The sequence below is a fragment of the Homo sapiens genome, chromosome 15, assembly GCF_000001405.40.
Source record: "Homo sapiens chromosome 15, GRCh38.p14 Primary Assembly".
Taxonomy (NCBI): domain Eukaryota; kingdom Metazoa; phylum Chordata; class Mammalia; order Primates; family Hominidae; genus Homo; species Homo sapiens.
In genome coordinates, this window is record NC_000015.10 from 96,237,750 (window position 1) to 96,260,093 (window position 22,344).

A 22,344-nucleotide genomic window follows, 5' to 3' on the forward strand; every position below is an offset into this window, starting at 1 on the left:
ATCTTTTCTCTTTCTCCTATCATCCTGTGCTTTTCAGGGTGAAATATCTGTAAATGACACATCAAGGACAGATAACAGAGTTGCCAGTTCATTCTCAAACCAAAGCAGTCATCAAAATTAACCCAATAATGCACTGCAGGGCACTTAGGGTATATTATCATATGGAAAATAATGTCTGTAATTTTTAGGGACTTAGAAAAGACAATGGAAGCACACCAAAGGGGAATTTATTAAAGCTCACATTTTTTTTTTTTTTTTGAAATGGAGTTTCACTCTTGTTGCCCAGGCTGGAGTGCAATGGTACTATCTCAGCTCACCGCAACCTCTGCTTCCCGGGTTCAAGTGATTCTCCTGCCTCAGCCTCCCGAGTAGCTGGGATTACAGGCATGCGCCACCACACCCGGCTAATTTTGCATTTTTAGTAGAGACAGGGTTTCTCCATGTTGGTCAGGCTGGTCTCAAACTCCCAACCTCAGGTGATCCGCCCGCCTCGGCCTCCCAATGTGTTGGGATTACAGGCGTGAGCCACGGTGTCCAGCCTAAAGTTCACATTTTAAAAGAGAAATAGTTCTCTATTTTTGCCCATCGAAAGAAATTCTATACATATATACACTATGAATCACTATGTAGGATTATTAAAGCAACTTTCAATAGTTTTCTTCCCAATATATGATTCTTCTTGAATCATATATCTTAATACAATATTCAAAATTATGAGAATAAAATTTTGAAACTTTATTGAAATGATGGACTACTTAAGGTAGGATTAGATTAAGGGTCACTTAAAACTGTATCTCTGCACTTTCATTCATGATGTAGATTATTTTTTATTTTGTCCTCTGAGAATTAGCTGAAATAAGATGTACTAGACCAAGATACCTGGACAGGAAATTGCCACGAGGTATGAACAAAAGACATCCAAGCTCTCCATTCTAATGAAAACACAATCAGCCATATCTTCACTTAGAAGAAAAGACAAAACATGCAAACAACTCAGATATTTTGAAAATTGTCATTAAAACTCAGCTTATGCATAACTCATAGTGAGGGGCATCTAACTAATCAATGAATGAGTGGTACAAAGCATCAAACCTTGATAATTTTCAGTCCCTCTCCCACAGACTTTTAATACCATCTTAAGAAAAAATCCATTTAAATGTTTACCTAAATTCAGAAAAAAAATCTTACGTAGATATAACATCTTGAATCTCCTTAGACACATTGAAGAGACTACTAATAAAAGCTACTCAGAATCACTACATGAAATAATGCAGGTGCTCTATGACACACTGGGTCACGTCATAGCCACATACTAAACAAAAATACAGTTAGTAGAGTCCGTTGGATACAAGACATGGTACTTCTTCATTTTTCCACATGGTATCTCAAACGGTGTTCCCTCTGAAAGCCAAGTTTTATCTTGGGAAAGACTTCATTTTAAAGACCAAAGCCCAACATTACAGAATCTTAGAATTCAACAAAAATACAGAGAACATAGTTTTAGCGCAAATTTTAATTGAGACCAACCTTTGCTGATGTCACTACAAGCAAATACACTACCTTAAAAAATATTAAAATACACAACTCTCAGACTTTATTTCTGTGTGTGTGTGTGTGTGTGCATGTGTGTGTGTATATTAATGCAAGTCTTTTCTACAAAGAAACTTGGCCATAGAACTCCTTCTCCTTTGGGAGTGTTGTATTTTTGTTTTCATATGTGGCACTGTATGTATTTCTATAGTTGTGAACAACTACATTTGATTAAAATCTGTCAGATTTATCTTTTTAGCAGGAGAAAAGAAATATGTGTTTCTCCAGAAAGGAAATCAATGTGTCTTCATGATAGATGCGGAGTGGAAAGCTGGAGACTGTCGCTTCAAGTGATGAAGCAGAAAGACAGGGTAGCTATCACAATTGGCTGCCGACATAATTGTCGTGAGCCAAAGCCCTGTTTAAATATCATAATCCTTGTTTATAGGGTAGACTTAGATTCATTGACTTAGTAGTTATTACTCCGACTTGTTAAGTAACAAAATCTTGCATCTGAGGTATCCGTAGTTTGCTCTGTTTAAATTTCTTTAGCAACATACTTTAGCCAGAGCTGTGCTCTGTTCTTTTCTGTAGTACAAGAAAGATTATTTCCTTCCTTCTAGGAAGGCACCAGGCTTTCAAGGCCCTGTAAATGTACCAAAGAATCTCCCTTCTCAAGGCAAACAGGAGAAACCCAGGCTATGCCAGAGACAGATGTAGCAGGAAACATACTCAAGGAAGGATGGGAGGCTGCTTCATGACAAAAATATGTCCAAAGGTCTTCTCCCTTCTGTTGGAAATCACTCTCCTCCCTAAGATCCCCAAGGTCTTCAGATAGAGCTATGCCAGATGGAAAAGAAAGCCTCTGCCCTTGCATTGTGAGATTAAGAGATTCCCCATTCAGAGATGGTACAACCAGCAGACACCCTATTAAGATAGCCTAGGAAAATTAGGTGAGCTCTGATGTCTTTGCAGCAGACGTATGTATGCCTCTATGATTACAGCCAGCAAAACCATTCTAATGAACTTGTAAAGCAACGTGAACATCTATGAACTCGCACATCAGTTGAAATTGCTATATCTTGTGTCTTATGAACGAAATCTGTCAGCAAAGTATTTAACGTGTTTATCTGCAACCAATTGCAATAATCACATTCGATGCATAAGCCCCTTTTTTACCTAACTTCTTCTAAAATGATATGTTGATTTCTGGTCCTCAATGAATGTTTCTGGAAGGCATTCTATTAAAATGAGTGTGTGCTCAGCATATTAACCCAGACCTGATTAAATCGTTAAATGAAAGGACACTGTATGCAAAGCACCCTAGTCAAGGGTTTGGAACATGATAGGCACTTATCACAGGCCCATGGCTTAGTCATCACTCTTCTCTTCAACTTGCATCCTAAAAATTAAATCAATAAGCACAAATAACTAATGCATTTGCCTAAAGCTAAATAACTCTTTTCCACTAATGTCCACTCTCTACCCTTACCCCACTCCTGCAATCAACAAGTTATTCAGAAATCAGGATTTAAGGATTCATTGACCACCATCACATCCATTACAACTAATTGGAAGCCTTTATATAATTTGCTAAAGAATTGTAATAACTGAGACACATTGTTGAGTTCTGGTAATAGACTCTATCTATTGTCATAGATAGACAATAGATAGAGTCTATTGTCATAGATAGTGGTGTCATAACTTTTTGATACACTGATGGAATTTAATTTGCTAAAATCTCTTCATAATTCTTTATTGAAATTGGTCTTCAAATTCTGTACTGTCTTTCCAAGTTATCTTCACAAAACAATTTGAATGTCATTCCTTGTTGTGGTCAAATAAAGTTTATATAATACTGCAAATGATTTTTTTAAAAGACTATAATGTCATCTGTAAAACCATCTGGGTCTGGTGCCTTTTTTAATGCAAGGTATTTCACTTTCCAGACTCTTCTACTACTAATTGATTTATTTGTATTTCCTATCTCTTCATGCTATAACTGATTTCCAGAGTCTATATTTTTACTTAAAAAAAATCCCTTTACTCTAGGCTTCCAAATTTATTCCTGTGGAGTTGTACATAATATCCACCAGTAAATTTTCTTATCTTCTTCATATCTGTGGTTGTAGTTCCTTTATAATAGTATATTCATTTCATTTTCTCCCTCTTTCTCTCTCCCTCTCTCTCTTCAGTCATAATAGACAGAATTGTATCCAGTTCATCAATATTTTTAAAGCGCCTAATTTTGATTTTACTTATCCGTTTTTATGTTTGTCTTCTATTTTGTTAGTTTTAGCTTTTATCTTTATTAATTCCCTCCTTCCTCATTCATATTTTATTGTTACTTTAGAATTTAAGTTCAGTATTTTAAAATTTATTTTCAATCTTTTTTTAACAAAAAACACAATTTAAGGGTATAATTTTTGCCTCAGTACAAAGTTGTTTGAATGTCCTATATAGTAGGAAATACTTTTATTACTCTAATTCATAACTTTAATTTGGTTATCTTCTTTGATCCAAGGATTATTTAAAAGAGTGTTTTTAATTTTAAGAACTTTTTGTCAACTTTTTATGCTCATGTCTAGTTTTACTGCATTATGATCAGAAATGTAGCCTATAAAACCTCTACTTTTTAAATTTCATTTAGTTTTTTTGTGTGGTCAGTTACCTATTAACTTTTACAAATGCTTTATGGACACAGATAAAGATAAAAATTCCTGTAGAGTACCTTGATACACACACACACACACACACACACACACACACACACACATTTGCATAGATCTGTGTGTGTGTGTTTGTGTGTTCCATGTTATTGACTATCTTATTGAAATCCACTATATCTTTGTTTACTGTTTGGTTTTTTTTTTTTTTTGAGAGGGGGTCTTACTCTGTCACCCAGGCTGGAATGCAGTGGCATGATCTCGGCTCACTGCAACCTCCACGCCTCCCGAGTTCAAGCAATTCTCCTGCCTCAGCCTCCCTAGTAGCTGGGACTACGGGTGCCTGCAACCACACCCGGCTAATTTTTGTATTTTTAGTAGAGATGGAGTTTCACCATATTGGCCAGGCTGGTCTCAAACTCCTGACCCATTGATCCTCCTGCCTTGGGCTCCCAAAGTGCTGGGATTACAGGTATGAGCCACCACACCTGGCCTGTTGTTTTCTTAATCTACCAGATACTGAAAATGCTTTATTAAATATACCCCCTACAATTGTATTCTTTTTTTTTTTTTTTTTGAGACAGAGTCTCACTCTGTTGTCCAGGCTGGAGTGCAGTTTTACCTTATGTGTTTGTCTCCTGTGTTATTTGATATTTTGTGTTCATCATATTTCCTTAATAGGTTATGCCTTTTATCATTACATAGTATATTTCTTTGAAGTGTTTCATGAATCCAAACTTTCATACCTTGGGGTTTGTTGTTTTGTTATTCTTTGCAGTTGTCGATGTCTTTGCCCAACCCTTAATTTACAGTATTTCACTTTGTCATAGGTATAACTCTTGTATGGGGCATTAAGCTGGGTTTTGTTTTTTAACCTAGTCTGACATTTGAAAAGGAATTATATCCACTTACATTTCTTGTAATAACTGATCTACTTAATTCCTCCATCTTATATTTAATTTCAATTTTTTTACATTTTGCTATTGTTTCTTTTTTACCTGTTTTTATATTTTTTTGCTGACCTCGTTAAGTTTCTCTTCTTTTTTTTTATTCCTCCTGGTAATTTGCAAGGTATTTTTGTTTGTCAAATGTGCTAAACATCACCTTCCTTCCATAACTACTGAAGTTAATGTTGACTCCCCTATTAGCATATCATTATTAAATAATTATTTCCTCCCACTGTGATATTAATTTCCCTATCCCCTACCATCACACACAGCCACACCTCTTAAATCCAGAGTTTTTCCCAACATCTCATTCTTTCTGTTCCAATAATCCATACTCACCAATATTTTACAACATCTCAATTACATCATTATCATGATCCATTGTTTCCGATCCTTTCGGTCTTGAGATCTCCATTGTTTTCAGTTGTCATTCGGGTAGATAATTTTCTGCAGTGTTTTAATCAGAAAGGCTATAGGGGTAATAAACAGAGTCCTTACCTGTTTCCAAAATAACTTTCTTTGGAACCAAATAAACAATATTTTCTTAATTATACGCTTCTTTGATTTCAGACCTTTTCTCACAATAGATTTTATTTCACCATCTCTAGCTTTCAGTTGGCTTTTCTCTATACACTTAATTTTTATCATCTTTCAGCTTTCCATATGGCAGACAAGCATAACACTAGTCCAATTCTCCTTTAATTTTTTTGGCTTTTTTTTTTTTCTTTTGTGGAGAACGGGGACTCATTATGTTGTCCAGGCAGGTCTCAGACTCCTGGGCTCAAGCTATCTTCCCAGCTCTTCCTCCCTAAGTGCTGGGATTACAGGCATGAGCTGCCACACCCAGCTCTCCTTTATTTTCAACTAATCAGATTGCTCTATTAGAAAATGTCATTAGTTTAGGGGTTTTTTTAAGGGAGAATTTTGTTTCGTTTCTGTTTTTGGATTTTTGTTTCGTTTTGTTTTGCTTTGTTTAGTATAAAGTGTCATAGGTCAGGTTCCCTGGGAAACATTCTGAGATGGGGATTTGTGGGCAGGAGGAATTTTACAGAGGAGTGCTCTTGAGAACAATGACTATAAGGAATAAAGAGGCAGGATTGGGCAAAGGGAATAACTGAGTAGCTGCGCGCAGCCTTAACAGAGGCCTCAGCTGATCTTATGGGAGCTGAGTTTGAGTTTTCATATTGGGACAAGAGAACCATTCCTTTGTACGTTGCATCAACCAGTATTGGATATGGACAGCAGTGGGTGGGGAGTTAGGGCGCCCCAGTCCTGAAGGGGGTATCTGGGTGAAACTCCACAGTGTCTAGTACACTGAATAGTCATGAATTTAATGAGGATATGTTGAGTTACATGTTTTTGTTTGGATTTGTTTTGTTTTGTCTTAATTCTTACTTAGACTCAGCTCTTGTAATCAGGAAACTAACTTCTTCCTTCAGCTCAGTGAAATGTTCCTTCATTTTGGATATAGTAACCACTTTTCCACCCTTTCCTTTTTTTCTTCTGGATGGCTTATTATTTGCATGTTCCATTTCCTGGATCTGTGCTTTAAGTCACCTACGTTTTCACTCATGTGTTTCCATCTTTGCGGCATGTTGTATTTCCTTTTACTTAATCCTGCAGCTCTCTAATTCAGTTGCTATCAAGAATTATGCCATTTTTCCCTCATTCATCTAATAGCTATTTCAGTGCAGACATCATGAACGTAGGTCCAGAAGATCTTTGTGGTGTTTCAATGACACATCTTTGAGAATGCTCATTATTTTCATCTTCATCTCTCCGTCTCTTCTATCAGCAAATGAGTCGTCTGTCCTAACCATCTGGGTTTCTCTCCTCTAGTTCCTGAATCCCACTGGAGAAGCCATAGTTTTTCTTGAAGGTCATGTTCTATTAGTTTGTAGAGGTCAGATGTTTGGTTCTGGGCAAGGAGAAAGTCCAAAATGGTAGGGAAGTTTATCTTCCTGTTACCATCTGCTGAGGCACTGAAAGGACTGGCAGGACACCCAACCTACCAGATGCAGAAGCTCATCTGCTAGTTTCTGCCTCACTCCTCCAGGGCTACCATGATTAGCAGAAGTAGAGGGTCCTTCCATGGACCACATCCTGATGAAGATATGTGAAGGGCTTCCTTCAGGAGGCACACAATCTGCTCTCTTTGCCCAGACCTTGAAAAGAGGCTGGCTTTCTCTTTCTTTGCTCCTTCACCTCTAACTCAACCCTCAGATGTCTCAGCATCCCCATTAGCGTCAGGTTCACTATCCCACTGGTGGCCTTGGTACCTCATGGCTTGAAGGGGCTGAAAAGGGAAAAAGTGTTAGGGGTAGACACTCAGGCACGATCCCCAAAGAATCCCCCTGACCATGTTTTTCTTAGGTTCTTCTTCTGATGTGAGCTGGTCTCATTTTCCTTTTCAAATGCTAAGTTTCTTGATAGCAGGATCACATCCCCTCCGCCACTGCATTTCTCTCTGCAGCTACCACAAGTGCCAGGCCATTGTAGACACTCAATAAACAGGGGCTGGCCTTGACAACAAATCCTGTGATCCTATTTGGTGCATTTCATAACCTTTCTGGCTAAAAGGCACAGTCCAACTGGCTGGAATACCATCTGTGAAACATGCCAGAGTATCTAACTCAGGGAGGCCCATGCATGTCTACCCACTTATCTTCCAAGAATCAGGTGATGCTGGAAAACTGAATGCTTAGTGGAGTTGGCGCCAGTACCTTGGGGGATAAGGAGAGGAAGTGTGGCATTGGATTTAGCAAGAGATTGGAGCTCCAATTCCAGTCTTTCCACTTACCAGTCAAATGATTTATCTTCTTTGAACTTCAATTTATTCACATATAAAGTAGGTTAAGAAAATAGTCACTTCTTCACAAGGCTGTTACAGGGATTAAAGGAGATCATGAATTAACATGCCTGCTACACAACAAGAGCTCAGTCACTGTGAGCTTCCAGCATTCTTGTTATGACCATTATTGTTACAGTGGGGAGAGGGAGATAGGCAGGTCAATAGTTGAGGGGCAGAAACCAGGGAAGAGGAAGAGGAACGGAGAAAAGAATGAGAAAGGGAGGACCTTAACTCTGAGTCTTCACCCAGAGATCTTGAAAACATTGGTTATTTAAGGAGATTTTAATTCCTTTTCCAGTAATAGTGACATTTCTACAGACTGGGTCTGTATTTTGTTTCCATTTTCCTAAATGATGTCACATCAAACCTCCTAAGAGAGTGCCTTTCCCACGCAGTCACCTCAAATAAAGACAGAGGGATGGAGTGGATGGGAAGAGGTGAGATGGGGCAGAAGTAATGCAGCCCCCAGCTCGCCAGCAGGTGCCCATTGTTGGAATTCTTCGGCTGTAATGGTCATTCCCATTTCTCCCATGGAGAAAGACAGCACCTCCTTTGACATTCTTTGTGGGTAAGGTGAAATCAGGGCAGGAGGAGCCACAGCCCATCACTTTCTGAGTTGACCAGAGATCTCTCAGGGGCAGCCTGGGCTCCTGTACCAGATGGCCCAGGTTCTAATTCTACTTCTTCCATTGAGTAGTTGCGTGACCTCAGGCAAGGTACTTAACCTCTGTGTGTCTCAGTAAAAGGGTGCTTTATTAACAAACTTTTATATTGCACTATTTAAAGGACTTTACAAATACAAATTCATTTAGTCCTTATAGCCATAGAAGGTAGGTCAGGGCCAGGTGCTGTGGCTTGTAATCCCAGCACTTTGGGAGGCCAAGGCGGGTGGATCACTTGGGGTCAAGAGTTCAACACCAGCCTGGCCAACATGGTTGAAACCCTGTCTCTACGAAAAAAATACAAAAATTAGCCAGGCATGGTAGTGTGTAATTACATGGTAGCCTGTAATTTCAGCTACTCGGGAGGCTGAGGCACAAGAATCACTTGAACCCAGGAGGCGGATGTTGCAGTGAGCCAAGATCATGCCACTGCACTCCCACCTGGGCAACAGAGTGAGGCCCTACCTCAAAAAAAAGAAGGTAGGCCAGACAAAATGTGGTAAAGATTAAATGGTTCATATATGCAACGTGCTTAGAGGCCCCTGTTTGGTACATGGGAAATGTAAGCGCGATCCAGTGTTGTCATCATTATTGTAAATGCTATCCATTAGCTGCCATCATCTTCTTCTCCTTCATCTTCCAGGGATTCTGTTGCGGTATAGCACTTGAGGGCATTTTCTCCCTCCTCATTCCACCACCAAACTCTCCTCATTTTTTGGAGGGGGGCATATCTAAGTTTATTTATTTATGCTATTTTTTTTTTTAGCAATTTCAACTTTTAGATTTAGGGGCTACATATGCAGGTTAGTTAAATGGGTATACTGTGTGATGCTGATGTTTGGGGTATAGATGATCCCATCACCCAGGTAGTGAGCATAGGATTCAATAGGTAGTTTTTTTTAGCCCATGCTCCCTTTCCTCCCTCCTGCTCTAGCAGTCTACAGTGTTCATTGTTTATGTCCATGCATACTCAATATTTGGCTCCCACTTACATGTGAGAATGTGTGCCATTTGGTTTTCTGTTTCTGTGTTAGTTTGTTTAGGATAATGGCCTCCAGCTGCAAACAGGTTGCTGCAAAGGACATGATTTTGTTCTTTTTATGGCTGCATAGTATTCCATGACGTATATGTACCACATTATCCAATCCACAGTTGATGGGCACCTAGGTTGATTCCATGTCTTTGCTATTGTGAATAGCTCTGCAAGGAACATAGAAGTATATATATATCTCTTGGATAGAACAACTTATTTTCCTTTGGGTATATGCCCAGTAATGGGATTGCTGAGTGGAATGCTAGTTCCATTTTTAAGTTCTCTGAGAAATCTCCAAACTGCTTTCCACAGTGGCTGAAATTGTACATTCCCACCAGCATTGCAGAAGCATTCCCTCTTCTCCACAGCCTCACCAGCATGTTATTTTTTGACTTTTAATAATAGCCATTCTGACCGGTGTGAGATGGTATCTCACTGTGGTTTTTAATTTACATTTTTCTGATGCTTAGAGATGTTGAGCATTTTTTCATGTTTTTTGGTTGCTTGTATGTCCTCTTTTGAGAAGAGTCTGTTCCTGTCCTTTGTCCATTTTTTAATGGGTTGTTTGTTCTTTGCATGTTGAATTGTTTATGTTCCTTATAGATTCTGGATGTTAGACCTTTATAGGATGCATAGTTTGTGAATATTTCCTCCCACTCTGCAGGCTGTCTGTTTACTCTGTTGATGGAGTCTTTTGTTGTGCAGAAGCTCTTTAGTTTAGTTAGATCCTGCTTATTCATTTTTGCTTTTGTTGCAATTGCCTTTGTGGACTTAGCGAAGAATACTTTACAAGGATGATGTCTAGTAAATATTTCCTAGGTTTTCTTCTAGAATTTTTACAGTTTGAGGTCTTACATTTAAATCTTTAATCCATCTTAAGTTAATTTTTGTATGTGGTGAAAGACAGGGGTACAGTTTCATTCTTCTGCATATGCCCAGCCAGCGATCCCAGCACCATTTATTGAACACTCTCCCTGTTTTTGAGACACAGTCATTTTAGTACTTCCATCACATTCTTGCCTCCCCTTGACACTGCTTACCTTTACCATCTTTGTGTTCTGAATCCCTGCTTCTTCCAGCTAATTTAAATGGGTTCCAACTCTCCCCAGGCCCACAGTGTGCCAAGCACAGTGCTAGATATTCTCACCTACACATATTCTAGGGCTTGGGGAAGCTGGGTGCAAACATCCATCCATCTCCAAAACCCAGTCCCATCCTATTTTATCAAATTATTTTAAAATATTCCACTCACCTTCCCAACTTTGTTATTCATCACTCTTAAACACTGAACTGATTTGCTTACAAGGCAGATCATCTAAATGTTTAAAATAAAGATTCATGCTAACTTAATGTAGCTATGTATGATTCTCAGTTGTCTGTATCTTTTAATTTTTTAAAAAAGATAGTATGTGAGCTGCTATGTATCATGTAATGTGCCTTCTTGACCAGTGGTAGGTTCTTATTCAAGCAAATAACCTTAGATAGGACTAGTGACATGAATGTATTTGCTATGTTAAGAGGAAAAGCTGGTTACAAAACATATGTAGAATAGCATGCTATTTTATACATCTGCAAAGATATATACCAATGCCATCACATTGGCTAACTTGTAGAAAAGGAAAAAATTATTTTTCAGGGTATTCTTCTTAGTTTTGCTTTTTGTATATTCTAATTTTTCTTTGTTTTGAGTATGTACTGCTTTTATAATGTCACAAAGAAGTACAAGAAACCATATTTTGATGGGAAACATGGTTGGAACTTAGCCAGCTGAAACCATCCTCAATAAAGCCCTTCGTTTTTTGTTTTGTTTTATTTTATTTTTTTAAGATAAAGTCTCACTTTGTTGCCCAGGCTGGAGTGCAGTGGCATGATCACTGCAGCCTCGAACTCCTGGGCTCAAGCAATCCTCTTGCTTCAGCCTCCCGAGTAGCTGGGACTACAGGTGTGTGCGACCATGCCAGGCTAATTTTTGTGGGGGCGAGTAGAGATGGAGTCTTGCTATGTTGTCCAGGTTGGTCTTGAACTCCACAAGCAATCCTCCCATCTTGGCCTCCCAAGGGGCTTGGATTACAGGCATGTGCCCCCACACCTGGCCCTATTAAGCCTTTAATCTGCTGTCTCATCAGGCTGTGCACTTGTCTGAAAGATGGCTCTGTTTATTGTGTCCTACCATGTTGTTAATTACTTTGAACTCAAAACATCTGGGTGGCAATGTCTATAGCTATTTAAGATTCTTGTTTTCATGTTTTGAATACACAGAAAGGTATATAAAACTTTTTCTGATGATAATGATGAAATCAAGTCCTATGTGTTGAAGGCAAAATTGACTTCCCTAGCTTGGTGCATGAAGAAAAACAAAGGTGGAGCTAAGTCCTCCCACTCTGCCCCACCAACAGCATCTTAGGATGCAGGGCACACTGAAGGCCCTTGGCCATGTCACAAGCAATCTCAGATGGAGGGTACTTACTCTCTCAGCCCATTTTCTTCCTTGTATAACTGTGCAGTTTCTTAAACTACCCTTTGCCTAACTACATATTTTAATCACATTCATTAATTTTCAAAGTGCCTATTTTTCTTATCATTCTAGAAGTACACTTCATATACTGAAAGCTAATGAGCATGTGTTCAGGAAATAGTGAGGAGTTGAATTTAGATTTTTTATTAAATTTGTATTTTTTTCTATTTACATTTTTCTGATTAAAAATGTGGCTTGTATTTTGTTTACTTCTACAGGAAACAAAGAGGGTGGTTATGTCTACTCAAAACCAAGCATGTATCTGAAAAAGTAGAATTTCAATTACATATCCAGATATTACATCTTTTTGCTTTTTATTTTGTTTTGTTTTTTGAGACAGAGTGTCACTCTGTCACCTAGGCTGGAGTGCAGTGGCACCATCTTGGCTCACTGCAACCTTGGCCTACCGTGTTTAAGTGATTCTCCTGCCTCAGCCTCTCAAGTAGCTGGGATTACAGGCGCAGGCCACCATACCCGGCTAATTTTTGTATTTTTAGTAGAGACAACATTTCACCATGTTGGCCAGGTTGGTCTCGAACTTGTGGCCTCAAGTGATCCACCTGCATCGGCCTCCCAAAGTGTTGGGATTATGGGTCTGAGCTACCACGTCCAGCCCCGCTATTATATCTATTTAATACCAATACATGAAGAGCTGGGTTGGTGTTTGTTTGCTTTGCTTTTTGTTTGGTTGATTGACATTATATAGAATGCCACAGTGGAACCGAAAACCTCCTCTCTACTTCAAAAATTAGAATAAAATGAATTTAAATTTTTTCTTATACTTTTCTCAGGTGCCTTTGAAAAATATTAAGGGCACTAGGTTAAAGCTATTAAAAGGCATATGTTTGTAAGTAAGAATTGTAAGAACTGACAGAACCGAATATTAAGAATTACTTTAAAAGCTAAAAACTTTAAAGAAATATTAGCCTGGAAAAGTGGAGAATAAGGGTGATTTAACAATTAGTTCCAAATAAATAACAGATTGGTAGAGGGTAGACATCTTGTTGCCATCCCACTTAAAGACAAGGACTCTTGAGAATTGCCTTTAGATTCTATCATGCCTTTGATCACACATAACACAGTGCTGGACACGTAGTGAATGTCCTTCAACACCTCCTATTCAGCATACTTCCCATATGTATGCAGGCACTGTGTGACTGACCACCTGGGGCAGGTAAACAGAGCTGCACCATGCTGCCACAGAGCTGGACCCAAAGTGTTCTGAGAAGTGTCCACATAACCCAGGCAAGCATCAAGGAAGAGAAGCTGTGCAGAAAGAGCAACATCTCTAGGAGTAGCTTTTACAAGTGAAGAGAGATTGTGCAAGTGAATAAAAGAAAGTCAGCGATTCCAGGCAAGGGGAATTGCATGGTCAAAGGCACTAAGGTATAATGTGCCTGGCAAATAGACTTCTGCAGGACTAGAGAGCTGGATTTGTGGAGAGATGGCATAGTAGAAGCAGGCCCAGGCCACATTAGCAAAAGTTTTTCTTGTACACCATGTTAAAAGTCTGGGTTTTGTCTCCAAGACAATTGTAGAACTCTTACAGTAAGGACTCTCTACAGAGAAATGACATAATCTTATTAACATAATAATGTTTAAAATATCACTATAGCAGCAGTATGGAGAATAGAATGGTAAGGAATTAATACTGGACGCTGTTGCAAGATTCTAGGCAAAAAAATTTTTAGGAACTGAATTAAGACTGTGGCTGTACAGGTAGGGATAAAGAGAAGGAAGCAGAGTCAGGCGATGATAAACAGCGCTGGCAGAACTTGTGAATCGCCTTGATGGAGAGGAAAGAGGAAGAGAATCGTCCAAGATGACCCTAGGGTCTTGCATTGAGTGACTGGGTAGATGGTGGCTTATTTTCCCCAAACAGGCAATACAGGAGGAGATACAGATCTGGGGGGGTCTACCAAGGGAGATAATCCATTTACTTTCCTAGTTGTAGAACTTAAGAGTACCTCTAAGGAGGAAGTCACATTTACTAGCATATAAGAACCATGAGAATGGGGACCTTGTTGGTTTCATTCACTATGTCCTCAGTGCCTAGCACAGCACACAGCAGATGATAAATCCTGGTAAATTCTAGTCGAATGTGTGTTCCTCGACACAGTTTTGGGTCCAGGTCTCAGCTATTATTCAATGCTCTTTGGTTTTCTTCCATAGAAAATCCTAGAACCTCCTTTGATGTTGACCGAGGTTGTCTTGCCTCCAGAAATAAGAGATTCTGCTCCATGCTGGCGGGGGTGAGTTACAAAACCATGACTAAGATTCTTAATGGTCCTATCACTCTTCGTTAACACATATAAGCAGGGCTGGTTAATTGTTAACCGACAAAAAAGCAAAAACTGCAATAATAAAGTTTGAAGTGGTCAGACAGAGAAGAATTAGTCACTGGAGTGAGCCTCTAATATTGTAATAAGACATGTGGCTTTCAAGTTGCCATTGAAATGATTAGGAGGCAGGGCGTGGTGGTGCATGCCTGTAATTCCAGCACCTTGGGAGGCTGAGGTGGGAGGGTTGCTTGAGCACAAGGGTTTGTGATCAGCCTGGGCAACATGGCAAGACTCTGTCTCTACAAAAAACTAAAAAATTAGCTATGCATGGTGGCTCACGCCTGTAGTCCCAGCTACTTGGGAGGCTGAGGTAGGAGGTTCACTTGAGCCTGAGAGATTGAGGCTGCACTTAGCGTGATTGTGCCACTGCACTCCATTGTGGGTTTCAGAGTGAGACCCTGGTCTCAAAAAAAAAAAAAAAATATTAGGGGAACCAAGTATAATTGTTAAGAATGAACATGAGCCAATTTAATTTGGTTTTAGAGTACCAAAAACTCTAAAAGGGATTGTTGCATTAGAACAAGAAACAGTGAGAAGTACGTAGATCAAATAAAAACCTGGAAAAAACTTTAAGAAAAAAAGAAAGAAAATCTAATAAATGGCACTGCTACTTGGAGAAGTTGGAGCAAATCTTCCTTGCCAGGGAAGCTTGAATTACCTGCATATCTCTTTAAGCATTTTCACGTACAAATCAAACACAGATGGCCCATTACGTTTATGACCTCACTGTCGATTCCTCTAGATGGAGCATGCATTAATTATTGAAATATTTTCATAGTATACAAGTTTTTAGTGGGCTACATTGCCACAGATAATTTCAACTTTCTGATTAGAAGCTGGTATAAACAATTTTATTTATGAGAATTAATCTCTTAAATGTAGTAAACACTACGAATACAGTAGTGATTTTTTTTTTCCCATTTAACAAAGCCAAACTAGGAATCCTGGCCTCTATCCTTGAAACTCAGCGTTATGTTAGCATTGCATACAATACATAAACTCTGCCAAAATCTATTACAATTGTAGTAAATTTTGATTACCGGAGTTGTTTGTTATTTATGTCTACAAGATAAAGATAATGTTGGGAATAGCCCTCTTCTATTCAATGTATAAATTACTTCCATAAAATATCTTGTTTTGTAAACAGTAAAAAAAGAAAAAAAGACTAAACTTGGTTGAAGCTTCAAATTGTTGCATCTACTTTAGTTCAAGTCAATAAACACTTTAGATGATGTGGAAGTCCATGGAAGGGTTTAGACTTTTAATGGTGCCCTGGTTTATCTCTGGCATGATAAACAAAATGCTGGGGCCATTCACTGTTAAAGAACAATAAAAACATTCCAGTGAAGGAGTGCTCGGAGAGAAGGCATGTGGAGAAACATTTTGCAGGACCTTAAGGAAGACACGTATTTTCTATCATTCTGGAAGAAAGCTATTCATTCAACAAACATCAACTGAGCACCTATTCTGTGCTGGGGACTTTTCTAAGCATTTGTAGTGCTTTGGGAGGGAAAACTAAACTCTCTTTCTGCCAGGTATAGATTCTAGCAGAATTGATTACCTTCTTAAATCCTCTTTGCAAAGAGAAGGAAGCTGAAGCTTAGCAAAGTGAACTAAGTAACCAGAGATTACCCACACAGAAGGCAGTGAAGCTGAATAAGAGCCCGGGCCATGTGGCTCCAGAGCCCCTATTCTTCACCTACCGTATCTCAGTTGCCTTCACCATTTTCAACCTTTTTCTGGCTCAAAGGTCTATTAATCTGGGTCATTGTGAATTTATATTTAAAAGTAGGCAGCTGGACTTCCTTCAGTCTAGGTCTTCATTTAGGTCAGTTAACTTTTGAAAAATAGTTATCTGTATTTCTTCTTTCTGAAATTCACCATAGGAAAGAATGTTCAGGCAAAGAATGGCACAAATAAGACAGGCATCGCAGAAATGCTGATTTCACAGTCCAGTGGGATATGGTGGCCCAAGAAGCAGCAAGCAAGGTCAACATGCAATTATTGGTTTCTTTCTCTGGCCAAAGACAAACAGGTATAGAAAATTATACTTCTAGCAACACACAGATAGCAGCGCTGATGGCACTGTGATTTCACAATGGGTTGCACAACACAAAAGAGAGAAATTCCTGCATACCTCGGGGACAACTAAGGCTGGAATAATACGATCCTTAACCAGAATCGTGCAAGAAGATGGAAATTTAGCATATGTATTAGGCGAGAATCTTCTACCAGTGAGTAATGCTTACATATAAGACTCCTCTAGCAAACATTTATAAGACACACTGCACTGCTAATGGAGAGAATTCATGTAGAAATTAACGATATATTAATTAATTCAATGCTGTTCAATTAATTTTGGATATTCATTTCATTAAATTAAAAAGTAATGCATTTTCCTACTGCTCACAATAAAACTCTCTCAAGTTTGTTTAGCACTTTATACATTTAAAAACTCTGTTGCTACTGGTGGAAGAGGGAAGATCAGAGACATCTGACAACTTGTCTGAGATCATGTCAAATTTGGCAGGGAAGAGCCTAGAACCCAGAGTTACTGATTTACAAGGTCAGTCCTTGGAGATTCTTTCACATTATTCTTATCTGATCCCCAATAAAGCAGGTATTATCGTGTTCACTGATCATAGGAGAGCCTGAGGCTTAGGGATGTAGAACAAGTCAATGCTCAATTCCTTTCCAAAAAAAATGTAACTGTGCATACAAATTCTATTAAGCGTGTGTTGGTAAGAGGGCATGGTTATTGCGAGCCAAGGTGTGCAAGGACAGAACATAAAATATGCAATAATGTACACGGTAAAGAAGTTCTACCATGGTAGAAGTAATTAATTTTATCTAGAATAAAAAAAAAGGTCCAACCAATTATAAATACAACTGACTGTAAAAACTATAATGATATTGGTTGGGCGCGGTGGCTCATACCTGTAATCCCAGCACTTTGGGAGGCCAAGGCAAGCAGATCACTTGATGTCAGGAGTTCGAGACCAGCCTGGTCATGGTGAAACCCTGACTCGACTTAAAAAATGCAAAAATTAGGCAGGTGTGGTGGTGGGTGCCTGTAGTTCCAGCTACTCAGGAGGCTGAGGCAGGAGAATCGCTTGAATGTGGGAGTCAGAGGTTATAATGAGTGAGCTGACATCACACCACTGCACTCCAGCACGGGTGACAGAGCGAGACTCTGTATTAAAAAAAATAATAAAAAAGAACTATAATGATATTGTGCATTGTGACTGGTTATGTAGTGTCTGATGCTATGGTTCCTTATGAGATCATGCAATACAATTACCTTGGACACCTGGAAAAAAGCAGAGTCTTGTACCTATGGAATCAGACACTTTGGACATAGAGGGCATAAATCTGGTTTTTAGCAAGCTGTATTAGGGGCCCATGGTCTAAAATCTTGCTATTCAAAGTACAGCCCATGAGCCTGCAGCATCAGTGTCACCTGGGAGTCTCTTAAGGATGCAGAAACTAAAACCCAACCCCAGATCTACTGACTCAGAATCTGCATTTGGTTAAATAACAAGATCCCCTGGTGATTTCCTCTTGACTTTACAGTTTGAAGAGACTACAGTTTGCTGGCTTATGGCATCCCTTCCTACCACACATTCACCTTATCAGAAAAAAAAAAAAATAAGTCAGCATGACTTGAGCTGTTTTTAGTGAATCCATGAGGGATCTAAGCGAACTGTTTCTATTTCCAACTTCCTTCTCAGTCTAATGTTCTAGATTTCCATCATCGTCTGATAAAGGTTTACCAAATATCCAATTAAAAATGTATCCTAAATTCTGTTGAAGCTCAACAACTAATTCATGGGCCATCAAGTGTTTCATTTCCAAAATTCACCTTCAGAATATTTTTTTAAAGTAAAAACCTCATTTGCATGTCTCTAAATTTCCACTAATTCTTCCATTTTTTACAATTCCTCAAAGACTAGTAAGGTGCATTGGCAATCCCATTGGCTAGTTTTCTTCGTCCTCTCATAAGATAATCAATCTATAAAAAATCAGGATATCTGGGTGTGTTTTTAGTAGCAGGAATAGCTATGATGAGTTCTACCCTTATACTGAGGCTTCAGGTTTCTCTTATAAGTGTTTGTTTAAGGCTGGGCGCGGTGGTTCACGCCTGTAATCCCAGCACTTTGGGAGGCCAAGGTGGGTGGATCAACTGAGGTCAGACGTTCAAGACCAGTCTGACCAACATGGAGAAACCCCGTCTTTACTAAAAATACAAAATTAGCCGGGCATGGTGGCGCATGCCTGTAATCCCAGCTGCTTGGGAAGGCTGAGGCAGGAGAATCGCTTGAACCTGGGAGGTGGAGGTTGTGGTGAGCCGAGATCGCGCCATCGTACTTCAGCCTGGGCAACAAGAGCAAAACTTCGTCTCAAAAAAAAAAAAAAAAAAAAAGTGTTTGTTTAAACCAGTCTCTTCAAGTGAAATCAGGGTGGTTTTTAAGTTTGCCCATCTCAAGTTCCTTGTTTGCAACAGCAATGTGTGCTCTTCCCTAGTTTTGGGGGAACCCCTCCAGCTGCCTTTCTGAGGCTAGGAAAAGACAGAATCCTCTTTCTCTGATCCAGCTCTCACCACTCAGCTAGGAGTAATACAGCTACTGTAATGCTTGAAATTCAATGTCCACTCAATATAACATTAACTTTGTTTGTTTGTTTGTTTGTTTGTTTTTTGAGATGGAGTCTCACTTTGTCACCCAAACTGGAGTGCAGTGGCACAATCTCGGTTGACTGCAACCTCTGCTTTCTGGGTTCAAGCAATTCTCCTGCCTCAGCCTCTGGAGTAGCTGGGACTACAGGCACGTGCCATCACACCCAGCTAATTTTTGTAGTTTTAGTAGAGATGAGGTTTTGCCATGTTAGCCAGGCTGGTCTTGAACCCCTGACCTCAAGTGATCCACCTCCCTCAGCCTCCCAAAGTTCTGGGATTACAGGCATGAGCCAATGCACCTTGCCCACATTTTAAAATTTTTTTAAAGAAATAAAATAACTTCTCAATCTATCACCCTGACAAGTTCACAGTCCATATAAAGTTAAGTTTAAATATGGGTTTGCCTTTTACCTGTCCTTACGATTACCCTAAAACCTTTTTAAATATTAATACGACTTTATAACATTTTAAAGCCCATATAATATTTCAACATTGATATGTTATATGTATGGACTCAATCTACTATTCTTGGACATATAGTTGGCTTCCAATTTTTCATTATAACACATAAATTCTAGAAGCTAATTTTAGAGATTCAATCCCAATATTTGACAGTTATCCTTAAAGAAAAAAAGAAAAAGCTCGTGCAAGACCAGGATTCCATGGCTAAGTTCCACTAGGCTTCTCATAAATGTATACCATTACTTACAGGGGGAACAGGCAGAAAAGGGTAGAGAAAACTGTATAAAACAGATCCTTTTTATCTTAAAAATCAGCTGAAACTACATGTTCTACTAATAGACTCAAAGTATCATTTTCATCTCTGAATTGGTATACATAACATAGTCTAAATATGTTATTAATATATATAGGGTTAGCTTCGTTGCACTTAGGGTCCTGAGTTACAAACAATCCATGGGTTATACAGGAGGCCATTTCCTGATTAGATGCCTGCACTAGAGTAGGAGCTGAACAGAGACTTAACTGTAGCATAACATTTTAATACAGCTACAACTAGATTACATTCTCACATTCTGTTTTAGACTGTGGAGTGGAAAATACATCCATCACTTAGAATGTGTGTAACCCTTATTTAGGTTATACCAGGTTGAGCCATTTCACTTAGGACTTAGAGGTTAGCCCAACCTCTGACTTCTGGTTTCCCTCTCCAATTTTTTTTTTGTTTTTGTTTTTGAGACACAGTTTCACTTTTGTTGCCCAGGTTGGAGTGCAATGGCGCGATCTTGGCTCACCACAACCTCCGCCTCCCGGGTTCAAATGATTCTCTTGCCCTAGTCTCCTGAGTAGCTGGGATTATAGGCATATGCCACCACGCCCAGCTAATTTTGTATTTTTAGTAGAGATGGGGTTTCTCCATATTGGTCAGGCTAGTCTCAAACTCCCGACCTCAGGTGATCCACCTGCCTTGGCCTCCCAAGGTGCTGGGATTACAGGCGTGAACCACTGCACCCGTTTTAATCCCTGTCGTTGTCTTCTATTAACAGTCAGACTCATTTGGTAGAAAATGAGGAAGACAGGAAAAGCCTCATGGAGTGGCCTGACTTTGAAGATGCAGATTTCTCTGCAGTTGAGGAAAGAGCATTCTGGCCAAGGGAAGAGTGAAGAGGCAGGAAAGTTGAGGGAAGGGTAACCATGTTGTTTTGCTAAGTAAAATATACATAAAGGAGAAGAAGAAAGGAAGTTTTAAAAGACAAGTTTGGGAAAAAATCATGGAGGACTTTGAATGGCAGCATAAAGGGCATGAGTAGTAAGAAGCTATGTTAAACAATAGCCAATCAAAACCAGATTGGGGCCAGGAAGGATGGTTCGTGCTCGCAATCTCAGCACTTTGGGAGGCCAAGGTGGGAGGATGGATTGATCCCAGGAACTGGAGACCAGCCTGGGCAACATGGTGAGACCCCATGTCCACAAAAAATAAAAAATAGTTAGCTGGGCCTGGTGGTGCATGCCTGTGGTACTAGCTACTCTGGAGGCTGAGGTGGGAGATCACTAGAGCCCAGGAGTTCAAGGCTGCAGTGAGCTATGATTGTGCCACTGCACTCCAGCCTGGGTAACTGAGGGAGACACTGTCTCTTGAAAATAAACAAACAAAAAAACTAAAAACCGTATTTGTACTTCTTGAAGATTTAGCAGGGTAAAATGGATGGAAGAAAGAGGAGACTAGCAGAGACAAATTAACATGAAGCCACTAGAACGATTTAAAGGTGAGTCTGAAAGAAGAGGCAGCAATAAGTCTGGGAAGGAGGTCATGGGTCTAAGACATGTCCTCTAAGACAGAGGACAAGAAAAACACTGAGTGAAGGGGATAAGGAAAGTTGTTCCCAGGAGCATCCCCTTCCCGGGCCCTAAATCCTAACAAACACCACAAGTCTGATTATAAGTCTTTCTACCTTGCCCCCAAGGCTGTCTTTGAAAATAGTAAAAATGTGTAGGCCTCAGCTATAAAACTGTCAGAGGCAATTGTTTGAATTTGGACATCAACGTTATGATCAAAATGAAAATGTGTCACTGACTTTGTTGATGCATTTTTAAAAGATGAACAGGCTTCGTTTGTTGACCTGATGCTCCCCAGTTTCTGAATGTCTGGTCACCTCAATGGCCCTGAGCAGCCCCGTTTCTGAACATCTGGCTATGCCCCCATGATTAGCCTGCCTGGCCCCAGCTTGCCCTAGAAAAGGGAAAGCTCAGTAGAAAAGGCATTCTGGGTGGTTTCCATCTTCTTGGAGAAGCAGAAGCAAAATTATTAACAGAGAATGAGACTGGCTGTAGCAATGTGTAGGTTTCAGTAGAGTTGAGAAAAGCTGTATCAGAGATTAGGGTAGGACTTTCATTTAAAATTAAAATTGCTGGATAATGTGGCAGTAACTAGTAAAACATAAAATATGTATACTTATGACCCAGCAGTTTCACTTTAAGTGCCCATACTAGAGAAGTACTCATGGCATATGAGTATTGTATTATGCATATGAGCATATGAGAAATACTAGAGTACATAGGAAGTATGTACCGGGATATTTACTAAAGTGCTATTTGTAATAGAGAAAAGGTAGAAGGAATCTACACACACATCATAGGAGAAAAACTCAGAGAGCATGGTCTACC

The 22,344-nt window shown here is 39.4% G+C and overlaps 2 long non-coding RNA genes across 2 annotated transcripts in view, besides 1 other annotated feature; one reads left to right on the forward strand and one right to left on the reverse strand.

Annotated features, from left to right (window-relative positions):
* Nucleotides 1-22,344, reverse strand: part of NR2F2-AS1 (NR2F2 antisense RNA 1) — a 200,002-nt gene that overhangs the window by 110,390 nt on the left and 67,268 nt on the right. The window lies entirely within an intron of this gene.
* Nucleotides 5,606-22,344, forward strand: part of LOC124903584 (uncharacterized) — a 31,799-nt gene continuing 15,060 nt past the window's right edge. Inside the window, exon 1 of the long non-coding RNA XR_007064801.1 lies at nt 5,606-14,456. This is a non-coding gene — a long non-coding RNA (uncharacterized LOC124903584). The remainder of the gene's footprint in view (nt 14,457-22,344) is intronic.
* Nucleotides 13,955-15,154: an enhancer, noted in NCBI's record as "MED14-independent group 3 enhancer chr15:96794933-96796132 (GRCh37/hg19 assembly coordinates)". NCBI's record gives its function as "activates an origin of replication core promoter dependent on BRD2, BRD4, P300/CBP and CDK7 cofactors, and independent of MED14, by STARR-seq in HCT116 cells {active_cell/tissue: HCT116}" and the evidence as "EXISTENCE:reporter gene assay evidence [ECO:0000049][PMID:35650434]".